The sequence below is a fragment of the Homo sapiens genome, chromosome 21 (assembly GCF_000001405.40).
Source record: "Homo sapiens chromosome 21, GRCh38.p14 Primary Assembly".
NCBI classification, from domain to species: Eukaryota; Metazoa; Chordata; class Mammalia; order Primates; family Hominidae; genus Homo; species Homo sapiens.
Window position 1 is genome coordinate 25,462,171 of NC_000021.9, and position 25,336 is coordinate 25,487,506.

Sequence of the window (25,336 nt, forward strand, 5' to 3'; positions counted from 1 at the left end):
ACCAAGGAAACTGGCAGGACAGGGCTAGCCTCAATGCTTATATACTCAGGGTATCTCCTGAACTTTTACCACCTAAGTTAAGAAATTAACCACAAGATAGCCTTGCAAAGGTCTAACAGGGGTATTGATATCAGAGTGGGTTTTAAAAGTGTATTAACTATAATCTTACTTTTAGCCTATTTGATTCTACTTATTTCAGAACTATTAATGACGTTTGTGGAGATATATATATATATATATATACATATATATACAATCTGGACTATCGGACTATAAGCTTAAAATCAGAAGACTCTTTTATATATTTTTATAATGCCTCAAATCTAGCATAGTATCAGGTACAGAGTATATGCCCCGAGTCTAGCAAAGTGTCAGTACAGTTCTGTAAATGTTGATTGCAGAAACTGAAAGACCATCAGCATGATAAACCACTGGAAATACTGACACAGATCTGTTGACAGATCAGTGCAATGGACTGTATTGTGTTCCAATTCATACGTTGAATTCATATGTTGAAGCCCAAAGTTCATATGTTGAAGCCCTAACGCCTTATGTGACTATCTGGAGATAGGGTCTTTAGGAGGTAATTAAGGTTAAATAAGGTCATAAGGGTGGGGCCCTAATCTGATAGTACAGTGGCTTATATGAAGAGGAAGAGAGAGAGAGACCTCTCTCCTTCTCTCCAGGCACGTGCACCTGAAGAGAGGCGATGTGAGCACACAAAGAGAAGGCAGCCATCTGCAAGTGAGGAAGCAGGCTTTCACCAGGAACCCAACTGGCTGGCATCTTGATCTTGGACTTCTCAGCCTCCAAACTGTGAGAAAGTAAATTTCTCTTGTTCAAGTCAACCAGTCTATGGTACTTTGTTATGAATGCCCAATCAGACTAAAACAATCAGAAACCCCATGACAAGTCTAATGCTTTTGATTGGTTTAATGACAATGAATGAAAAAAAGAATAATTACTTTTTTCAAATCATTCTGTAATATAGTCATCATCCAAGAATGAATTATAGCACAATACATGGCATGTATGAATTTAAGAATAAGGACTAACCCAAAGGCTTGAGAATAGAATGTAACAAAGTAGGGAAGTGAGAAAAAAATATTAAAATGTGCCATAAGTCACATTCAACAACAAAAAAAAATATTTTGTTCTATGTGGAAACTTTTACTCAGCCTACATATTATTTGACTCTAAGTTTGATTAGCTGTGATAAAGTTCGAGAAACATTTTAGCCCCATTTTCCTAGAGTTCATCAAAGATTGCTAAAAAATCACATAAGTGTTGCTTTTAAGCTGTAGCCCCAATATGTTTTTCTAAACTGGAATACGGAAACTCATCTAGTGTTTCTTATGAAGCACAGGATCCCACCAAGAAAAAGAAATGTCATTTATTTCTCATATTTGTCTCATATTACATTTTTTATAGAAAGTTGGTTAGAAATTTGCAACCCAAAATTAGCAAGAAAAGTCTATGACAACCTCACCCTCACTATATATTCCTTGAATAAAGGTTGCCTTTATAGAGGAATTAACTGAAAAATTTGAAACATGCTTTACATATTTACCATTATGATGCCTAAAATAAACATACCAGTGTAGATTCAGAAATCTAGATCAAAGACACCTTTTCACATTTTACTCATTTTTTAAGTAGTAAATAGAAGGATGTTCTAAGCAATTAGCCCAGAGATGCTTGACATTTTCACAGCAATCCAATCAACTTAACAGGGACATATTTGCAATGGCTTGGTTCTTCTGAAGGTAACAACTTTTTCTCTTCTTTTCTCTTTTTCTTTTTTTTTTCTGTTCAAAATTCAGAATTACTTCTCTCACTTGCTAAAGTGATACCCTTAATTTCTAGGGCATTCTGACATATTTGTCAGCACCATCTCTCCAACAACCTTAAAAATTGTCACAGGGATAAATGAATTTTTGAAAGCTAAAACTCAAAACTTTATTCTGTCATCCTTTATATACTTTTTTATTGATGATCATGAGCCTTATTAATTGGATTCGTCACCTTTCCCTGTGGCCAAAACTTTGAAAGTAGAATTTTGAGTTTTATTCTTTACTATATCATTTTACTCTAAAATATGTTCAAATAGATTTTTCCACACTGTGTAGTACTGTACTGTGTAAAGAACGTTTGTAACTAGGTCAACATACACTGTTTCTAGGCACCACTAAGGAAATAACTGTGTTATACCCATAATAGAAAATTACCAGAGTAACAGGATTAAAATGACTCATTAGGCCTTTGATTGGGGTGCTCTGTGCTACAGGTAGTGCCAAATCGAGGGCTCTGAAGACTCATGTTGTGAAAGTTTCCTTGAGAGGTCAGAAGTCACTCTTTCAAAATACAAAGACTCTTTCAAAAAACAGATGAGTGAGTGCATTGGATCTTGAGAAAATGGAATATGGCCCTTCTTTCTCTCTGAGAATGAACATGCAGTTTGAGTAGTCTGAATCTTGGAGGAAACAGAAGAAGCTGGTCTACACAACACCTTTCTCTGCATTATCTAGAAAGGTAAAGAATAACCAACCACAGCCCTGCAGGGTGACAGCCACCAGAGTGAGACTGACAGGAGGATATTTGGAAGAAGCACCTGAATCCGAAAAGGAAGAATCCATACATCTTCCATCCCTGTGCCTGAAAAAAGCGACTTTCAGAAAGATCAAGAATTTGGTAGCCTAGAAAAGAGGGATCTCTGCTTTATATACAAATTCTGATACAGTGTCCTACATGAATGTTTTATTCATTCATTCAGTACTTCTTATTGCTGTCTGTGAACTAGATACTAGAAAAGGATAAAATACTAAACAATCATTTATGACTCCTGTCCTCATACAGCTCATATCTAACTAGGACATGTAAATTTGGGCACCATTCTGTATGTCTTTCCTTATCTACACAAAATTTGTCAATGCGCCCTACTTTCTCTATCTTCAAAATAGATCCAGAATTTGGCTGTTTATCACAAAACATCAACTTGGTACACAACACAATAATTTTTGCCTGTATTATTGCAACTACCTCCTACCTGACCTACTGTTTTATAATAAGTTTGTCCAGCTTCAGCATATTCTCCAAAGAACAGACATAGAGATTCCATGAAAACATAATCTCACTCCTCTATTCACAACCTTTCAATGGCTTTCCATCTCACTCAGAATAAAAACTAAGAGTCCTTACCATGGTATACCAGGACCTACATGAGCTGGCCCCATTACTTCTCTGACTACATCTCCTCCTCCCTCCTCCCTTATTCATTTCACCTTAACTAAACTGGGCTCATCACTTGTCACTGTTCTTTGAACAGAGCAGGCAAGCTCCTTGCTCAGAGTATTGCACTTCATACACCCTCTGCCTGTAATGTCCTTTCCTCTGCTATCCAAATGATCTCAGGGAGCAATGGAGTGAACATGTAAAAGCTTAAAATTTGCATTTCTTTTTAAATGTTTTTCAACTCAAACTGTTCATTATTTGGTACTGACCTCATGCCCAATTTGGTTATATTAGCAAAATTCTTTATTATATGAATGCTATACAACTGCTTTAATCCTGGCTTAAAGTCTTTTTCTCCACCTAGAGGGCATATATTCTGACTCTAATTCTAACTATCAACACTGTATACTTAATAAATATTCACTTTTGTCAGACCTTAATTTTAACATAAATCATAATTAATACAGCCTCACTGGTGGCATCAATTAAATCCACAAATGCCAAAGTTGAACAAATTTTCTTTAAAATTCTATCAATTCTAGATGCAATTTTGCACACATATTTGTCTCCAATACCTCACAAAACCCTACTGATTAAAAAAAGGATACAAGTATAAAATAGAACAGTCATATAAAAAAGATAACGTGGCAGAGAAATGGAGGTGTGTGTGCATATTTTACCAACAAATAAGAAATGTCAACATATTTCTGCAAGATCAAAAATAAATGGAAATGGGTTGATAAAACAAGCAGGAAAAGTTACTGCAGTAAACTGCTAAGTATCTGCAAAGCTAAAAGCCAATCATATAGATGAAACATCTTGTATCGTGATTTTCTAGGGCAGTCTTTAACTTATTTTCCTAGAATAATTAATAGAAGCCCCCACTTTTCTCAAAATATGCCTGTTTAGAAGACAATTAAATGACCATTATCCCTATGGAAATTCAGTTTTAGTTTCATAAGAAGCAAGAAAAATGTACACTGATTACAGCACAGGTGTTCTAGAAAGAATACTAACCCACCTGGCAAACTTCATCAGCTTCTTCCACCCCATTCAGAGTCACGTGCTTTTGTCTCCTGGGTAAAAATAAAACAAAAGCCTTTTCTTTATAAACTGAATGTCTAGGTAAGTGAATGTTTTGAAGGTGAATATTGATGCCCACAGTAAATCTCTCCTCATCTGGAATTTTGAGACCCACAGTCTAGCAGCCTACTCCTTTTCATCCTGAAGTGAAGAATGCCACTTCCCACTCAACTCTATCACACACAGAGAGAGCTTGCCATCACATCACCACTGCACCAGGAAGCGGGAGCTGCACTAGCAAGCCAGTCCTCTTCTCTTAAATATGAGTGGCCAACCAATGATCACCAGGCACATAAAGTACACCAGCTGCCTGAGGAGAAAGATCAAAATACCAAACAAAATGACTGGTCGCACAGGAAACTCCACTAATTAGACAGTATTTTTATTATTTTACACAGATAGTTTTTGTTTGGGTTTGCCTACATGTTCTTTCTAAGCTACCCAGTATAGGGTATTTTGTTAGAGCAGCTCAAACAAAGACAGGCAGTAATGTGGTTTAGCTATGTCCCCACCCGAAATATCATCTTGAATTGCCATCCAACTTGTAATCCCCATGGGTTGTGAGAGGGACCTCGTGGGAGGTGATTAGATCATGGAGGCGGTTCCCCCGTGCTGTTCTCGTGATAGTGAGTGAGTTCTCATGAGATCTGATGGTTTTATAAGGAGCTTTTCCCCCATTCACTCTGCATGTCTCTCTCCTGCCACCATGTGAAGAAGGATGTGTTTGCTTCCCCTTCTGCCATGATTTTAAGTTTCCTGAGGCCTACCCAGACATGCTAAACTGTGAGTCAACTAAACCTCTTTCCTTTATAAATTACCCAATCTCAGGTATTTCTTCATAGCAGCACGAGAACAAACTAATACAGGAAGCTAATACTGATATTTCAGATTTACTACAGAAAAACACACTTGTCATGTATTGGTAGAACTCAGTGTATTAAGTACTTACTTTGTGTATATTGGATGTTAACTTTTAAGACGATTATATATTAGAATTTAACTTTTCATTGTTATCATTCATTGGTTCATTCAACAATATTCAGTAGTTGTCCATTATATACAAAGCCATGGCATAGGCACACAATGTAACCTTAAAAAATGTATAGATTACCCTGAAATGTTCCAGGAGGAATTTTAAAAGGGTGCAACCAGTTTAAAAAATAGTTTGGCAGTTCTTGAAAAGGTTAATCATATAAGTTACTATAGGACCCAATAATTCTACTCCCAGGAATATGTCAAGAGAAACAAACCCATATGTATATTCAAAAATTTTTATGTTTATGCCAGCATTATTCATAATAGCAAAAAAGTGGAAAAATTTCAAATGTCCATCAACTGATGAATGGATAAATAAAATGTGGTGTATTCACACAATGGATACTTACTTGGTGACAGAAAGAAGTGAAGTACTAATACCTGCTACAACATGGATGAACCTTGAAAATATTTTGCTAAGTTAAACAACATATTGTATGATTCTATTCACATGAAATATCCAGAACAGGTAAAATATAGACACAGAAAATAGATTAGTATGTGCCAGGGCTGAGTCAAGGAGTCCATTCCCTTACCTTCAAGTTTCCCTTGAGATCAGCACAAGAATGAAATTAAGAAATTCTGTGTTGTGAGATCATTAATGCAAGATGTCAATGAATCATAATGTTGATTGTGTAAGTCAGGCAAGATTTTAATGCCCCAAAAGTTATTTTCCATCCATTAAATAAAAGGAAAGCACTAGTATTCTTTTTGCTTTGTTAAATTATTATCCTTTTGTTCTTGTATTTGTACTATATGAAAGTTCAATAAGTTAGTAGAATAAAATACATTCCTCAAAAAAAAAATAGGTGTGGAATTTTAGGTCAAAAGTCAAGTACATTATCCTGACTTCTGAAATGTATCACCAATTACTCCCCCAAAACTTTGGACCAATTTATATGCCCACCAGGGGCTCATGAATGCTTTCATTTTTCTGAAGGCTTACCTACTGTAGATATTATTTTTGCTTATCTAAACCAAGATTTTAAAAACCAGATTCTTTAAACAGAGGTTGTAATGACAGAGAAAGTAAATAACAACAAATTATAATGACAAATCATCTGAGCTACTTTAGAGTATATATACCTTCATTCAAATCCAACTCTCACTATACGTGGTTAAATCAAGCCAGGATCTGATTATATTTATGATTTTGTCAGATTGTAGCATTTAGAAAAATGGTTAGCTTGTTCTTTTGAAATATCATGGTGAATACCATGAAGCAATGAATTTTGCTACCACAACTTCTTTTTACATATTTCCCAATGTGACAGGTAAAATATTAGAGTATAATAATTTCTCATTGTCCTGCCTTCTGAGTTAGGAATAAATGTTTTTAAACATTGTTCAGCCAATTGGGTCTTTTGATGTAAAGTATGACGTATTTATGACCTATTGCTACCTTATAATAACCACAAACTTGGCTACTTTAACCAATCAAATTTATTATCTCACAGTTCTGTAGCTCAGAAGTCTGGTGAGCTCAGCTGTTTTCTCTGGCCTGGGTTTTATAGGCTGAAATCAAGTTGTTGGCAAGCTGGACTAGTATTCAGAGGTTCTGAGGGAGAATCTTCTTCCAAGCGCATTCAGGTTGGCTGTCAGAATCCAGGTATTTGGGCTTCAGAGGTGAAGTCTTTGCTTCCTTGTAGGCTGTGAACCAAGAGCCTCTCTCAGAGATATAAGGTGGCCTGAATTCCTCCATCTCCAGATAAGCTAGTGTGCTTTGAGTCATTATTACACTTGGAATCTCCTTCACTTCTCCTTCTACTGCACCTCTTCTGCCTGCAGCTAGAGAAAGTTATCTGCTTTTAAGGGATTACATGATTAGAGTGTGTCCATCTTACATCAAGTATTTTTCATCAGATTAAAAATACGGAGATCAATAAGATAGTAATCCTGCCCCCAAGGAACTCACACACAGTTTAATGGAGATATTACTTTTTAAAATTATACTTTAGATTCTGGGATACATGTGCAGAGCGTGCATGTTTGTTACATAGGTATAGCTGTGTCATGGTGGTTTGCCGCACCCATCAACCCATCATCTACATTAGGTATTTCTTCTAATGCTATCCGTCCCCTAGCACCCCACCCCAAGACAGGCCCCAGTGTGTGATGTTCCCCTCCCTGTGTACATGTGTTCTCATTGTTCAACTCCCACTTATGAGTGAGAACATGTGGTGTTTGGTTTTCTGTTCCTGTGTTAGTTTGCTGAGAATGATGGTTTCCAGTTTCATCCATGTCCCTCCAAAGGAGACGAACTCATCCTTTTTTATGACTGCATAGTATTCCATGGTCTACATCTATTTTTTAAGGAAATAATTCTAGTAGTGTTCTTTGACCCAGTAACTCTATGTTAACATACTAAGGAAATGTTAGATGTAGCTTATATAAAAATAAATATTAAAATGTAAAAAATAGGCTATAAAAATTGTCATTATAGCAGAGTATACAACAGCAAAATTGCTAACAACCTAAATGTTCAGCAAAAGTGATAAGGTACACCCACATAATGAAGTGCTGTAAAGTCAATTAAAAGTATGTTGTAGATAGGTACTGATTAACATGTAAAAGGTTTTTTTTTTTCCACATCGTATGGGTAATGTGTCAACGTTTGAGTGAAGTACATCTCACACATGAATGGGAAGACCCAAGCATCACACTTATGAACTACAAAAGGATCAACATATAAAAGTAAAACAAATCAACAACAAAATAATATTACAGTGAAGCGTCTGAAAGCACATGCTCCAAAATGTAGGTTTTTTTCTGTCAGTCTGCATCCTTTGACATTTCCATTATGATCATAAGCTTAGTAATAATAAACTAACAAAAATGTTATTTTTAACAAGTGAAGCTTATATTTCTGTGCTTTTATATAAATTTCCAGAAAGTTGTTTATCGAATTAGAACAAAAATGATTGTTTATATTTTAGGAAAAATGATAAAATAGCTTTTTATTGGGAGCAAAAAATTAAGACAAAAAATATTCTCCTTGTCCTCAGATGTTTATATCTCTTGTATTAAAAAAATCATCAGTTTTATTACTTACCAAAAACATAACTAATATCCCCTCCCACCATTATATCATAATTTTGTTTAAATTATGCACCAAATTTCATTAGTCAGACTCATTCATTTGAAAATGTTGCACAGTTCCACCTCTTCCTTTACCACTACAGAAACTTTATCTGAAGGTTTTATGTCCAAACATTGGCTAGAGAAACAAACATGATTCTATGGGCTCTGAACATATCAAAGATTACAAAACAATTTGACTTCAAGGGAGAAAGAAAGTGAAAACTTAGCTTTTGGAGATAAGTATCTATCTGAGACAAATCTGAAATGTACATTTTATCAGATTTTTCTCAATTTCAATTTTCATTGCTTGTATTGACTGGCATAGGATGATGTTTTTCATGAAAAATCAAAGGAGGTCTTAGTGATCCAAAGGATTGCAGCATTTGAAATATGTTGTGGATTTACTTGTTGCTAAGTCCTTAATTGCTCCTCAAGCGTAAGGAGTAAAAAAAAGTTGGGACACCACCTTCATGATCTCATCTAAACCTAATTGCCTCCCAAAGTCTCCACCTCCTAATAGCATCCCATTGGGGGTTAGTGCTTCAACATATGAATTGAGGATGCAGTCCATAATACCTAGTTGGTAAGATTGCTTGAGAATTAAATTGAGTTCTGCATATAACCCACAGCCTGATATAATAAGGGCCCACACTGGATAGCAATGATTACTGGTAGGGGAAGTTAGTGGGTGAGGGTATGTCAAGAAAACAGTATGAGCTGTATGAGCAGAGGTGGGAATGGATCATTTGTGTTCAGGCAATGGCAAGCAGGTAAGACCAGCTGGGATGTAATATTCATGTTAGACAGAGGAAGGAAATATCAGAAGATCTGAAAGTGCATTGGGAAGAACCCTGGATTTCTTTGGATACCTTTTTCTTCCTAATTGTCTAATGTTTCTGGCAAATATTGGCCTCTACTTTCTCTCAAAATGCCCATTACTTCCAGAAGAGCAACAGGAGTATTCAAACAACTAGCCAGCAATCATAAAAGTGGAAATTACTTTAGCTGCTCATTCAGAGCATGTCCTAAAGATAATTGAACTAAGGAAAGCTGAATATTCCCAAGGCAGATGTGCAGTGGAAACCCTAGCCCCAAGAACTCTATTACTGTCTCAAGAGGATGTGCACAATGAGGCTATGCAGAGAACAACATTACAGAGAGGAACTTAAGCTTCCTTTTCATTAATTTCGGAATGCGAGCTGCCTATCATTATGCTTTGAAATTGGCCCTGATGGATTTGCGGTTCGTGTTGGAAACATCTTTATTTTAGTAGATAGATCTATTCTTTCAACTCTTTTTGCTTTGTGTTATTACGATTAAATATGATAGAATGATGCAGTAAACAAAGCAGGTAAGCTTCAAGTAGCTGAGGTACAAGAAAATAGGGTACATTTACAATCAGGAAATTGATAACATTCGTTGGTTCAACTGGCAGGATAGTGGTGTTCTAGATCCTTGCTGCTACTCAAAGTGGGTTCAGAAACCAGCAGCAAGAGTATCACATGAGAATTGTTAGAAATGCAGTGTCTCAGACATCATTCCACACCTACTGAATCAGAATTTGTATTTTAACAAGGTCCCCTGGTAATTTGTATGTACACTAATGATTGAGAGGTACTATTAGTTAATAATTGAGAGGCACTCACAATTGTGTTGTTGCTTTAGAAAGGCCCTCCCAACGCTTCCCTGCCCTCCCAACTCCCGTCAGTTAGAAATGAAATTCAGCTGCTAGTCACACATTTGGGGTTTTATTTTTCTGATGTATGAAAAGTCAGTAGTTAGTGCAGAGCTGAAAGAGAAGCCCCATAATGTCATCAGAAACTCAAGTTCATGCCATCTTTATGATCAGTGATCCTAATATATGTTTGTCACCTAAGGTCACAAGAAGAAAGCTCCAAATCTTGTCTGAGTTCCAAACAAAATGAAAGAAGTGTAAAATCAAAGTGCCTGATACAGTTTGGCTCTGGGTACCCACCCATATCTCATCTTGAATTATGATCCACATTTGTTGACAGAGGAACCTGGTGGGAGGTGATTGGATCATGGGGGAAGTCTCCCCCCCATATTGTTCACGTGATAGTGAGGGAATTCTCACGAGAGCTGATGCTTTAAAAGTGTTTGGCATTTCCCTCCTCACCCTCTCTGTCTCCTGTCACCTTGTGAAGAAGGTGCTTTCTTCCCCTTCACCTTCTGCCATGATTGTAAGTTTCCTGAAGCCTCCCCAGCCACGAAGAACTATACATCAGTTAAACCTCTTTTGTTTATAAATTACCCAGTCTCAGGTAGTACCTTTATAGCAGTGTAAAAATGAACTAATACACAGAATTGGGGCAGTGCTATGAAGACACTTGAACATGGGGAAGTAACTTTGGAACCAGTAATGGGCAGAGGTTGGAATAGTTTGGAGGGCTCAGAAGAAAACAGAAAAATGTGGGAAAGTTTGGAATTCTCTAGTGGCTTCTTGAACGGTTTTGACCAAAATGCTGATAGTAATATGGACAAGGAAATCCAGGTTGAGGTGGTCTCAAATGGAGATGAGGAATTCATTGGGAACTGGAGCAAAGGTCCCTCTTGCTATGCTTTAGTGAAGAGACTGGCAGCATTTTGCCCCTGCCCTAGAGATCTGTGAAAATTTGAACTTGAGAGAGATGATTTAAAGTATCTGGCAGAAGAACTTTCAAGCAGCAAAGCATTCAAGAGGTCAATTCTGGCTTATTCTGAAAGCATTCAGTTATATATGTTCACAAAGACATGGTTTGAAATTGAAACTTATGTTTAAAAGGGAAGCAGAGCATAAAGGTTTAGAAAATTTGCAGCCTGTTCATGTGGTGAAAAAGAAAACCCCATTTTCTGAGGAGGAATTCAAGCCAACGAGCTGAATATTAACAGCCAAGACAATGGGGAAAATGTCTCTAGGGCATGTCAGAGACCTTCAAGACAGCCCCTCCCATCACAGGCCCAGAGGCCTAGGAGAGCACAATGGCTTCTTGGGCCAGCCCAGGGCCCTACTGCTCTTTGCAGCCTCCAGACATGGTGCCCTGCAAGGCAGCTGCTCAAGCTCCAGCCATGGCTAAAAGGGGCCAAAGTACAGCTTCAGCTGTTGCTTCAGAGGATGCAAGCCCCAAGCCTTGGCAGCTTCCAAGTGGTGTTGGACCTGTGGGTGCATAGAAGACAAGAATCGAGCTTAGGGAACCTCTGCCTAGATTTCAGAGGATGTATGAAAACCCCTAAATGTCCAGGCAGAAGTCTGTTGCAGGGGCAAAGCCCTCATAGAGAATTTCTTCTATGGCAATGCAGAGGGGAAATGTGGGGTTGGAGCCCAAACACAGAATCCCCTCTTGGGCACTTCCTAGTGGAGCTGTGAAAAGAGGGCCACCATCCTACAGACCCCAGAAGGGTAGATCTACTGACAGCTTGCACCATGCACCTGGAAAAGCCACAGGCACTCAATGTCATCCTGTGAAAGCAGCCATGGTGGCTATACCCTGCAGACCCACAGGGACGGAGCTGCCCAATGCTGTCGGAGCCCACTTTTTACATCAGTGTGACCTACATGTGAGACATGTAGTCAAAGGAGATCATTCCAGAGCTTTAAGATATAATGACTGCCCTGTTGGGTTTCGTACTTACATGGAGCCTATGCCCCTTTGTTTTGGCCAATTTCTCCCATTTGGAATGGAAACATTTACCCAATGCCTGCAACCCCATTGTATCTAGGAAGTAATTAACTTGCTTTTGATTTTAAAGGCTTATAGGTGGAAGTGACTTGCCTTGTCTCAGATGAGACGTTGGACTGGACTTTTGGGTTAATACTGAAATAAGACTTTGGGAGACTGTTGGGAAGGCAGGATTGTGTTTTGAAATGTGAAAAGGACATGAGATTTGGGAATGGCCAGAGTAGAATGATATGGTTTGGCTCTGTGTCCCCAACCAAATCTGATCTCAAACTGTAATCCCCATGTGTTGAGGCAGGGACCTGGTATGAGGTGATTGGATTATGGGGGCAGTGCCCCCCATGCTGTTCTCATGATAGTGAGTGAGCATTCATGAGATCTGATAGTTTTATAAGGGGCTCTTCACCCTTCGCTCTTTGTCTCTCTTCTGCTGCCTTGTGAAGAAGGCCCTTGCTTTCCCTTCACCCTCTGCCATAATTGCAAGTTTCCTGAGCCATGTGGAACTGTGAGTCAATTAAGTCTCCTTTGTAAATTACCCATTCTCAGGTAGTATCTTTATAGCAGTGTAAAAATGGACTAATGCACCCACAATTACTAGAGATCCTATAATCGACCCCTTATCTCATGATGATCATCATGACCGTTTTCCCTGACTGAGCTCTGACAAATATAATCCCAACAGTGAGGTCTTTCCAAGCCCATTGTAAAACTGAATCAACTCAAATACAAGTTAGATAAACATACAAAAATGTTTATGCATTCAAGTATTTAAAAAAGTGGGTACTGAATATTTAGTTCTCATATAATTTCAGTGAGACGAACTATCCCTTGATATTTATATACAGTAATTTTCATTGTTTGGTTGTACACCATATATTTTGATCTTCCACTGGTCTCTCTCCACTCAAATATATCTTCCCCACAATGGCCAGAGTAACTTTATAAAACAGAGATTTAATAATGTCTGTTCATTGGTTAAAATCCACTGGTGACTGACTGTACACTGCCTGCTGGATAGAATTCAACTTATTACACCACAAACAAACGTCTTTCCTGAAAGTCCCAATATTTCTTTAGAACAACAACTCTCATGGCTGTCCCCCCAAGTACTCTAATCTCCTTTAACACCAAGCTCATTCCTCTTTTTCACACATCTTACCTTTTCCCACGACCATGCCTTTGCATATAATATAACATACCATCTGTCTAGTCCTTCCTCCCTTCCCTGACTGGTGAACTCTTACTAATCCTTCAAGGTCCAACCCAAATACTAACTCCTCAGCAAAGTCTTTTCAGCCCTGCTGGGTTAACAGGTGTCTCCAGTGTATGTGTGTGACATTGTTTCAAAATTTATTTTGCATAAGTATCTACGGACTTCACTCTGTTTTGAGAAGTAGTACCACCGGCTAGCACCGTAGCTGACACATCACAGGAATACATTAAAAGCTGACTTAATTAACTAATCTGCTCAGACATTCTTAGAAAATGTTCCTCTTCCTCAGCAGTGTTAGTTTTGCTCTTTTCAGGTCATTCAGACACATAATGGAAGCTGGGTTCAAATATACATGTGAGGTTTCAAATACTACATGATACAATTTAGATCAGTGTCCCCACCCAAATCTCATGTTGAAATGTAATCCCCAATGCTGGAAGTGGGGCCTGGTGGGAGGTGATTGGATCATGGGGATGGTTTCTCATGGTTTAACACCACCCCCACTTGGTGCTGTTGTCATCATAGTGAGTTCTCATGAAATCTGGTTGTTTAAAAGTTTGTAGCACCTCCCACCTCTCTCTCTTCCTTCTACTCTAGCCATGTGAAGTACCAGCTCTCCCTTCACCTTCTGCCATGATTATACATTTCCCAAGGCCTCCCTAGAAACCGAGCAGATGCCAGCATCATGCTGCCTATACAGCCTGTGGGATCAGGGGCAAATTAAACATCTTATCTTTCTTTTATAAATTATCCAGTCTCAGGTATTTCTTCTTTTTTTTTTGACGGAGTCTCACTCTGTCACCCAGGCTGGAGTGCAGTGGCATGATCTCAGCTCACTGTAACCTCCGCCTCTTGGGTTCAAGTGATTCTCGTGCCTCAGCCTCCTGAGCAGCTGGGATTATAGGTGCACGTCACCACACCTGGCTAATTTTTGTATTTTTAGTAGAGACGGGGTTTCGCCATGTTAGCCAAGCTGTTCTCAAACTCCTGACCTCAGGTTATCTGCTTGCCTTGGCCTCCCAAAGTTCTGGGACTATAGGCATCAGCCACCATGCCCAGCCTCAGGCATTTCTTTATAGCAGTGTGAGAATGGACTAAACCAGTGCAGTAAATTTTTTTTTTAATTTGTGAAAGTGAAAATATATGCTGTGTGACCATAAAAGAGGGGTGTTCAAAAAAACTGATCATGTTGACTTTGAGTAGATTTAATCCATCATTTAAAACTTTTCCCCAAAGCGAGCTGGTCACAGTGGCTCATGCCTGTAATCCTGGAACCTTGGGAGGTGGAGGCAGGAGGATCACTTGAGCCCAGGAGTTCAAGAAAAGCCTGGGCAGGATAAGGAAACCCCATCTCTACAAAATTTTAAAAATTAGCCTCGTGTAGTGGCATGTGCATGTAGTCTCAGCTACTTGGCAGGCTGAGGTGGGAGGAATGCTTGAGCATGGGAGGTCAAGGCTGCAATGATCATGCCACTGCACTCCAGCCTGGGCAACAGAGTGAGACCCTGTCTCAACAACAACAATGACAAAAATCTATCCCACAAAGAAAACTCCAGACCCAAGAGAACTCTTATCAACATTAAAGAAAGAAATGATATCAAACCCACACACTCAGAGATTAGGAAAAGAAGGGACACTTCTCAACTCATTTTATGAAGCTAACATAATGATGATACATGCAAGAAAAGTAAAGATCAATATACCTCATGAATGTAGATACAGAAATCTTAAAAAAAGAATAGCAAGTAGAGTCAAATAATATATAAAAAAGATAATACAGCAAGAGAAAGTGGAATTTATCTCAGCAACACAAGATTGTTTTAACATTTGAACACTGATCAATATAAATTAACATATTGACAGAATAAGGTGGGAGGGAAATGAATATATCAAAGGACGCAGAAAAGGCATTTGACAAAAAGTGACACTTGGTCATGATAAAAACTGACAGCAAAAAAAAAAAAGAAAAGGAATTAAATGAAAAATTCCTAATCAGGTAAATAAAAGTCCCTTAATCTGATAATCTGATAAAACCACATCTACACATTACCTACATTACTATTATATTAATGGTGAAATATTGAATGCTTTCCTAGTGAGATACGATATGGTAGGGAAACATAACAAAGATGTCTACTTATTACCACCTCCATTTAATACTTAAATTCGAATACATGCAATAAAGCAAGGGTGGGAAAGTGTATAAAGATTAGAATGAAAGAAGTAAAATGGTCATTATTTGCAGATGACATGGTTGTATACACAGAAAATTTTTTAAACTATTACAAACCATTAGAATTATTAAGTAAACTTAATAGCTACAAGAATAATATATGAAAATCAATCATGTTTCTCCTATATTAACAACAATTAGAAAATAAAATTATTTAAAATTCACAATGGCACCATAAATAAAATGCTTAGGAATAGAAATAAACCTAAGAAAAGTTAAACAAAACCTCTAAAATAAAAATTATGAAACATTGCTTGACAACATTTAACTTCATGTTCTAAAAAAAAAGCTAAAAAATTTTTAAATTGTATTTGTAATTGACAGATAATTATATTAATAGGGTAAAATGGGATGTTATAATAAATATATACATTATGGAATGATTAAATCAGGCTAATTAGCATAGCCATCGCCTCATATATTTATTATTTCTTTGTAATGAGAACATGTAAAATCGACTTTTTAGGCAATTTTGAAATATACAATGCATTATTATTAACTGTGGTCCCCAGACCATGCAATAGATCACTAGAACTTATTAATCCTGCCTGATTGAAACTTTGCACCCTTTGATTAACATCTCCCCTTTCCCCATCCATCCAGCCCTCCAGGCTTTGTAACCACTATTCTACTCTCTATTTCCCAGTTCAACTTTTTTAGATTCCACTTATAAGTGAGATCATGCAGTATTTTTCTTTCTGTGCCTGGCTTATTCAATTAGCATAATGTCCTCCAGGTTCAACCACATCATCACAAGTGACGGAGTTTCCTTCATTTTTAAGACTGAATAATAATCCTTTGTGTATATATACCACATTTTATTTATCCATTTATCCACTGATGGGCACTTAGGTTGTTTTCATATCTTGGCTATTGTGAATAATGCTGCAATTAACATGGGGATGCAAATATTTCCTTGACATATTGTTTTTAATTCCTTTGGATATATATCCAGCAGTGGAATTGCTGAATCATATGGTAATTCTGTTTTTAGTTTTTTGAGGAGCCTCCATACTGTTTTTCATAATGGCTGTACTAATCTGCATTCTCGCTAACAGTGTACACAGGTTCTTTTTTCTCCACATCCTCTCCAGAATTTGTTATCTTTCACCTTTTTGATACTAGCCATTCCAATAGGTGTAAGGTGGTTTTAAGTGGCATTTCCCTGATTAGAAATGTTGAGCTTTTTTTTTTCATTTTTTTTTTTTTTTGGCCACTTGCATGTCTTCTTTTATGAAATGCCTATTCAGGCAGGTCTTTTACCCATTTTAAATCAGGTTTTTTGTTTTCATGCTGTTAAGTTTCTTATATATTGTGGCTATTAGCCTATCAGATGTATGATATGCAAATACTTTCTTACAATCTATAGGTTGTCTCTTCCTCTCTGTTGTTTCCTTTGCTGTTCAGAAAGAAACTTTTTAGTTTAGCACAATCCCATTTGTCTATTTTTACTTTCATTGCCTGTGCTTTTGAAGTCATAGCCAAGAAATGATTGCCCAGACCAATGTCATAGAGCTTTTCTTTATGTTTTCTTCTAGAAGTTTTACAATTTTAAGTCATACGTTTAAGTCTTTAATCCACTTTGAGTATATGGGGTGATATAAGAATTCAATTTTATTCTTCTGCATGTAGACATCCAGTTTTCTCTTTACCATTTCTCGAAGACACTGTCCTCTCCCCAGTGTATTCTTGACACCTTTGTCAAACATCAATTGATCATAAATGCCTGGATTTATTTTGGGGCTCTCTATCCTGTTCCATTGGTCAGTGTGTCTGTTTTATGCCATTACCATGCTGTTTTGATTACTATAGCTTTGCAATGCATTTTTCAATAAGGTAATGTCATGCCTTTTGGCTTTTTTCTTTTTGCTCAAAATTGCCTTGGTTATTTGGGGTCTTCTGTGGCTCTATAAAAAAAAATGTAGGATTGCTTTTTCTATTTCTGTAAAAAGTGATATTTAAAGTTTGATAGAGATTGCATTGAATCTGTAGATCACCTTAAGTAGTGTGGGCATTTTAACAATATTCATTCTTTCAATTCATGAACACAGTATAGCTCTCCATTTGTTTGTTTTGTCTTCAGTTTATTTCAATGTTTTATAGTTTTCCTTGTAGAGATCTTTTACCTTGTTGGTTAAATTTACTCCTAAGTATTTTTATGCTATTGTAAATGAAATTACCTTCTTAATTTCTTTTTCAGATAATTTGTTATTAGAGTATGGAAATGCTACTAAATTTTGTATGTTGATTTTTTATTCTGCAACATTACAGGATTTGTTTTTCAGTTCTAACAGTTTTTTTAGTGGAGTCTTTATTGTTTCTATATATAAGATCATGTCATCAGCAAACAGACAATTTCACTGCATTCTCGCCTATTTGGATGCCTTTTATTTCTTTTTCCTTCCTAATTGCTCTGACTAGGACTTCCAGTACTATGTTGAATAGAAGTGGTGAGAGTGGGCATTCTTGTCCTTGACTGGCATGCCCCCAGGCTAACACAGCAGGCTTGTACATACCTCCCAGGCCTGTAGCCCTACCATCTGCCTCTAGCAGACATGCTCCCACGTTAGCCAAGCTGACATGCACCTGTGTCCCAGGCCTGAGAAACATGGCCAGGGGCCACCCAGGATAGTCAAACAGCTATGTAAAGCATCCAGGCCCAATCCATAGGCCACCCCTGGCAGGTATGCCCCCAGGCCAGCCAAGCCACTACACAACCATGCCCTTCCTGGCCAAAGTAACAGCCCCATGACCCCAACCCAAGTGAGCCAATGCCAAGTTGGCCAACCACTGTGTGCATTAATGCTTCTCTGGCCTGAGAAACAGTTCAGTAAACCCACCCCCAGCAAAGCTGCACCACCACTACCATAAATTCTTTTAGCCTAGGCTACTGGGACACTTGCAAACATCACTAGCCTAGTTTACAACCGAAAAAACTTCATGGAGACTACACTACTGTACCCACCTTAAACTAAAGTCAATTCACCCCCACTGAACTGACACGTCAAGACTCATGTATATAAATACATTTTTCCCTATGAAAACCCTGTAAAATTGGAAGAGGTGACTGACTATTCCACCAGATGCACAGAAATCAACATAGAAACATATCAAACATTAAAAACAAAAAAATGACACCTCCAAATGAACACAATAATTTTTCAGTAACAGACCCCAATCATAAGAAAATAAACAAAATGTCAGAAGGGGAATTCAACATAGTGATCTTAAGGAAACTCATTGAAATATAAAAGAATACAGACAATTCAACAAAATCAGGAAAACAATTCATACTTTGAATGAGAAATTCAACAATGGGATAGATATTTAAAAAAATAGAAATCCTAGAGCTGAAGAATCAATAAATAAAATGCCTAAATACAATCAAGAGTTTCAACAACAGACTAAACCACGCAAAGGAAAGAATTTCTGAACTTGGGGACAGTCTTTTGAAACAACACAGGCAGACAAAAAAAAGAAAAAAAGTTAAAAAGGAAAAAAGAAAATGTACAGGATTTACGAGACATCAGTAAGTAAACAAATATTCACATTATGGGTGTTACAGAAGGAGAAAAGTATGAAGAAGTGTAAAAACTTATTTACTAAATTAGTATAACAGCTGAAGACTTCCTAAGTTGTGGGAGAGAGAAGGACATCTAGATCAAGGAAGCTCGAAGAACCTCAAATAGATTCAGATCAAACAGGGCCCCTCCAAGGCAGATTATAGTCAAATTGTCAAAAGACAAACACAAAGAAAGAATTCTAAAAACAGCAAGAAAAAAAGCATCAAGTCACATATAAGAGAATATGCATTAGGCTAACAATAGATTTCTCAGCAGAAATTACAGGCTGGGAGAGAGTGGGATGCTACAGTCCAAGTACTGAAAGAAAAAACAGATAGCTAAAAATTATATACCCAGCAAAGCTATCTTTCAAAAATGAAGGAGGAATCGAACCATTCCCAGATAAGTAAAAACTAAGGGAATTTTTTACCACTAGACTGGCCTTACAATAAATGCTCAAAGGAGTCTTACATCTGGAAGTAAAAAGACAATAACCACCATTATGAAACATGCAAAACTATAAAACTCACCAGGAAGGCCAATACACAAAAGAGAAAGAGAAAGGAATCAAAACTTATCACTACCAAAATACCACCCAACCATAAAAATAAACAATAATAGAGGAAGAAAGAAAGAATATATTAAACAATCAGAAAAAGAAACAGTAAAATGACACAAATAAGTTCTTACCTATCAATAATAACCTTGAATGTAAATGAATTAAATTTCCCATTTAAAAGATATAGATGAGCTGAACAGATTTCTTTTAAAAAATACCCAACTACATGCTGCCTATAAGAAATTCATCTCAGCTGTAAAGACACACATAGATTGAGAGTGAAGGGATGGAAAAAGATATTCCACACAAATAAAAACCAAAAGTGAGCAGGAGTAGCTATACATATATCAGACAAAACAGTTCAAGTCAAAAAACCTGTGAAAAAGAGGCAAACAGCGGCAATATATGATAATAAAAGGACCAATTCAGCAAGAAAATATAGCAAATGTAAATATATATGCACCCAACACTGGAGCACTCAGACATATAAAGCAAATATTATTAGATTGAAACAGACAGATAGACCCCAATACAATAATATTAATAGTTAAAGACTTCAATACTCCACTGTCAGCATTGGACAGATCATCTAGACAGATAATCAAAAAAAGAAATATTGGATTTAAAATGCACCATAGAGTAAATGGACCTAATAGTCATTTACAGATCATTTTACCCAATAGCTGCAGAACACATATTCTTCTTATCAGTGCAAGGAACAATCTCCAGGATTGACCACATGTTAGGATATGAAACAAGTCTCAATTTTTTTATTGAAATCATATCAACTATCTTATCTAACCACAACAGAATAAAACTAGAAATCAATAATGAGGATCATTCAAAACTATACAAATATGTGGCAATTAAACAACAGGCTCCTGCATGAATAATGGGTGAATGAGGAAATTAAGGATGAAATTCTAAAATTCCCTGAAACAAATGCAGATAGAACCCAAACATACCAACACCTATGGGAGATAGCAAAACTTGCCTTAAGAGGCAAGTTTAGGCTGAGCACGGTGGCTCATGCTTGTAACCCCAGCACTTTGGGGAGCCGAAGCTGGTGGATCACATGAGGTTGGGAGTTCAAGACCAGCCTGGCCAACATGGTGAAACGCCATCTCTACCAAAAAAAATACAAATATTAGCCCAGCCTAGGTGACAGAGCAAGACTCTGTCTAACGAAGAAAAAAAAATACCAGAGACTGGGTAATTTATAAAGGAAAGAGGTTTAGTTGACTCACAGTTCCACATGGCTGGGGAGGCCTCACAATCATGGCAGAAGGTGAATGAGGAGCAAAGTCACATCTTACATGGTGGCCTGGCCAATATGTGAAACCTCGTTTCTACTATATGAAAATTAGCCGGACATGGTGGCATGTGCCTGTAATCTCAGCTACTTGGGAGTCTGGTATGAGAATTACTTGAACCCAAGAGGCAGAGGTTGCAGTGAGCCAAGATCATGCCACTACAATCCAGCCTGGGCAACAGAAAAAAAAAGAAAAAGAAAAAAAAGAGGCAGTAATAGTGATAAATGTCTACACTAAAAAAACTAGAAAGATTTCAAATAAACAACTTAATGTTACATCTCGAAGAACTATAAAAGCAAGAATAAACCAAACCCACAATTAGTCGAAGGAAAAAAAAATAAAGATCAAAGCAGAAATGAAATTGAGATAAAAATACAAAAGATTAACAAAACAAAAAGTTGGCTTTGTGAAAAGATAGACAAAAGTGACAAACCATTAGCTAGACCTAAGAAAAAAGAAAGAATATCTAAATTTAAAAAAAATCAGAAACAGGAAAGATGTCAAAACAGATACCACAGAAATACAATGGATTATTAAAACTATTATGAACAACTATACACCTGTAAATTTAAAAATCGAGATAAAATGAATAAATTCCTCAACACATACAACATACCAACATTAAAGCAAGAATAAATGGAAAACCTGAACAGACCAACAACAAGCAATGAGATTGAATCCATAATAAAAAGTCTTCCAGTAAAGAAATATCCAAGACCAGATGACTTCACTGCTAAATTCTACCAAAATTTTAAAGAATTAATATCAATTCTTCTCAAATTGTTTCAAAAAATTTGAAGTGGAAGAAACTCTTCGTAACTCATTTAATGAAGCCAGCATAACCCTGATACCAAAACCAGAGAAGGACACAACATAAAAAGAAAACTATAGGCCAATATTCCTGATCAACACAGACACAAAAAATACCTCAACAAAATACCAGCAAACCAAATCCAACAATACACCAAGAAAATAATACGTCATTATCACTGGGATTTATCCCAGGAATGCAAGGATGGTTGAACATATGCAAATCAATAAACATGATACATCAATAAACATGATACACCACATTAACAGAATGAAGGATAAAAACCATATGATCATCCCAATAGATGCAGAAAAAGCATTTGATAAAATTCAACATCCCTTCTTTATAAAAACTCCTAATAAATTAGGGATGGAAGGAGAGTACTTCAACACAATAAAGGCAATAGATTACAAACCTACAGCTAACATCATACTAAATGGGAAAGGGCTGAAAACGTTTTTCCTAAGAACTAGAATAAGACAAGGATGCCCAGTGTCACCATTCCTATCTAACATTGTACTAGAAGTCCTTGCCAGAACAATTAAACAAGAGAAGGAACTAAAGCACACTAAATTGAAAAGGGGGAAATCAAATAGTCTGTTTTCAGATGACATGATCTTATACATAGAAAAACCTAAAAGCTCTACCTAAAAACTCTTAGAACTAATAAATTCAGTAAAGCTGCAAGATGCAAAATTCACATAGAAAAATCAGTAGCATTTCTATGCACAAACAACAAATTAGCTGAAAAAGCAACCAAGAAGGCAATCTCATTTACAATAGCTACACACAAAAAAATACCTAGGAATAAATTTAACCAAGGATGTGAAAGAACTCTACAAGGAAAACAAAACGCTGATGAAAGTAAGTGAATAGTATACAAATAGAAAGACATCCCATGCTCACAGATCAGAAGAATTAATAGTGTTAAGATGACCACACTAAGCAATCTACATATACAATGCAATCCTTATTAAAATATTAATGACAGTCTTCACAGAAATAGGAAAAAAATCTTAAAATTTGTATGGAACCATGAAAGATTCCTAATAGCCAAAGCAATCCTGAGCAAAAAGAACAAAGCTGGAGGCATCACACTAACTGACTTCAAAATATGCTACAAAGCTGTAGTAACCAAAATAGAATGGTATTGGAATAAAAACAGACACCTAGACCAACAGAACAGGATAGAGAACCCAGAAATTCATCCATGTATCTATAGCCAACTGATTTTTTACAAAGGTGCCAAAAACACTCAGTGGGGAAAGGGCAGTCTCCTCAATACATGGTTCTGGGGAAAATGGATATTCATATACAGAAGGATTTAACTAGACCCCAATATCTCACCCTATACAAAAATCAACTCAAAATGGATCAAAGACATAAATGTGCAATCTAGAACTATAAAACTGTTAGAAGAAAACACAGGGAAAATATTTTATGAATAAGACCTCCAAAGCACATGCAACAAAAGCAAAAATAAACAAATGGGATTATATCAAACTAAAAAGCTTCTGCACAGCAAAGGAAACAAGCAGCAGAGTTAAAAGACAACCCAAAGAATGGGAGAAAATATTTGCAAACCATTCAACTGGCAAGGAATTCATATTCAAGATACACAAGAAACTCAAACATCTTAACCATGACAAAAAAAAATTTTAATGGACAAATGATCTGAAAAGACATTACTCAGAAGAAGACATGCATACAAATGGTCAAAAAAAATACATGAAAAAATGCTCTAAACATCAGAGAAATGCAAATCAAAACCATAATGAGTTATCATCTCACCCCAACTAGGATGGCTATTATCAAAAAGACAAAAAATTACAAATAACTAGAATAGCTTTATTTTTTTAAAAAATCGATATGATGAAATAGCCAAAAAAAAGAAGAAGAAGAAAATAAGATAAAGAAGAGAAAATATCAACCACATGCACTTGGAGAATCTACAATGGTACAGAATTCAGGGACATCCCCTCAATGCCCTCGTTTTAATGTCTGTATATGACAGTTTCCCACTAAACTGCAAACTCTATTAAGAGCAGGGAGTCCTCTTCCTATCACAGTATGACCAATATAACTTAAACACAGTGGGAGCACATAGTAAGTGTTCAAAGGAGAGAGAGTAGGGAAGAAAGGAGAGAGGAGGGAGGGAGGAAGTGAATGTAGGTAATTATTTTGCCCTCCTTCTATATTGAAAGCAATCTATTCCTTTTGAGTAACAACCCCAATCTACCCTACAGCAAGAGATGGTCTTAGAGAACCACTTTAGAGGTGCATAAATATCTTTTTCATACCATAAATCTTATATCGATTTTAACCAACTTCAATACAGTTTCCTTCTCGTTACATTTCATATTTTCCCTCAGATAATCTTTATTTCCTTGAACATTTCTAAGGAAATTCTTCATATTATTTCTAAGATTGCTTTACTATATTGTAAAGTCTTCTCACTGAAGCATTGTAAGGAAAAGGTTAAAGAATGTTCACAAATTCTTCCAAGATGTGTAGACTCTTATTTGGAGGCTCTTGGACTTAACAGAAAAACTCAGTTTTCATTATCTCTTGAATGTCTGCTATTATGTATGGGGAATATGCATTTTAGAATTTGCAACCTAAAAGGCCGCTAAATTTTAAAATTCTTCTTTGAGACAAAAAATTACATCAATCATCTGAAATATAATTAGTACTGCTAAAATTGTTATTACTATCTACTCTCATTAGAGCAAAAAAAAAAAAAAACCCTTTCTGTTTGTAATTTTTTTTTCATGCCATTCTCCTGCCTCAGCCTCCCGAGTAGCTGGGACTACAGCTGCCTGCCACCACGCCCGGCTAATTTTTTGTGTTTTTAGTAGAGACAGGGTTTCACCGTGTTAGACAGGATGGTCTCAATCTCCTGATCTCGTGATCCGCCAGCCTCAACCTCCCAAAGTACTGGGATTACAGACATGAGCCACTGCGCCCGGCCTCTGTTTGTAATTTTAAATTTAGTAAATACCAAGAATAAACACCTTTAAATGTATTGACTTAATGCAATGTACAAATAAAGGTTAAAACCACTTGAAGAAAAAGAGGTGTGGAACTCAGCGAGACAATCTAATTGAAACAATCTAAAACTTTAATGTCAGTGTTTCACAGCTTGACTATGTAAATTCATAAATTTGTTTTTGATACAGTCCTGAATCAGCACAGTAAGATTTTGACTAACAACATGGACCAAGACTTATCTTGAAGCACATAAACCATTTTTGACACATATGTTCACAACAACAGCCTTCAGAAGAAAAGGGAACAGTGAAAGTTCTAAGAAACTGGGCAGGAATACTTCCTAACGTTCAGTGGTTTAGATGAGTTGCTAAATCCTAAGTTGCAAAAGTGTATGTAGTTCGCATTAAAAAAAAAAATTACTTATTCACTATGCAGACAAAAAGTCCCTTTGAACATGCTCTATTTGGGGGTAATTTTATGACTCAAAGAGTTTGCCACATTTCCCCAGGGATGCTTTAATCATTTCTCCCTTTTACCCTTGAAAGACCT

General features: G+C 36.7%; 1 long non-coding RNA gene and 1 pseudogene across 6 annotated transcripts in view; both read right to left on the reverse strand.

Moving 5' to 3' along the window:
- Positions 1 to 25,336, reverse strand: part of LOC105372753 (uncharacterized) — a 72,352-nt gene that overhangs the window by 15,674 nt on the left and 31,342 nt on the right. For 3 of the 6 annotated variants that reach the window (NR_188560.1, NR_188566.1, NR_188564.1), the window contains one exon: positions 4,253 to 4,307. This is a non-coding gene — a long non-coding RNA (uncharacterized LOC105372753). Of the gene's footprint in view, positions 1 to 4,252; positions 4,308 to 6,774; positions 7,138 to 25,336 lie in introns of those variants that run through there. The other 3 variants (NR_188561.1, NR_188567.1, NR_188565.1) reach the window with 1 other exon arrangement.
- LOC124905059 (uncharacterized) lies at positions 7,939 to 8,031 on the reverse strand (annotated as a pseudogene).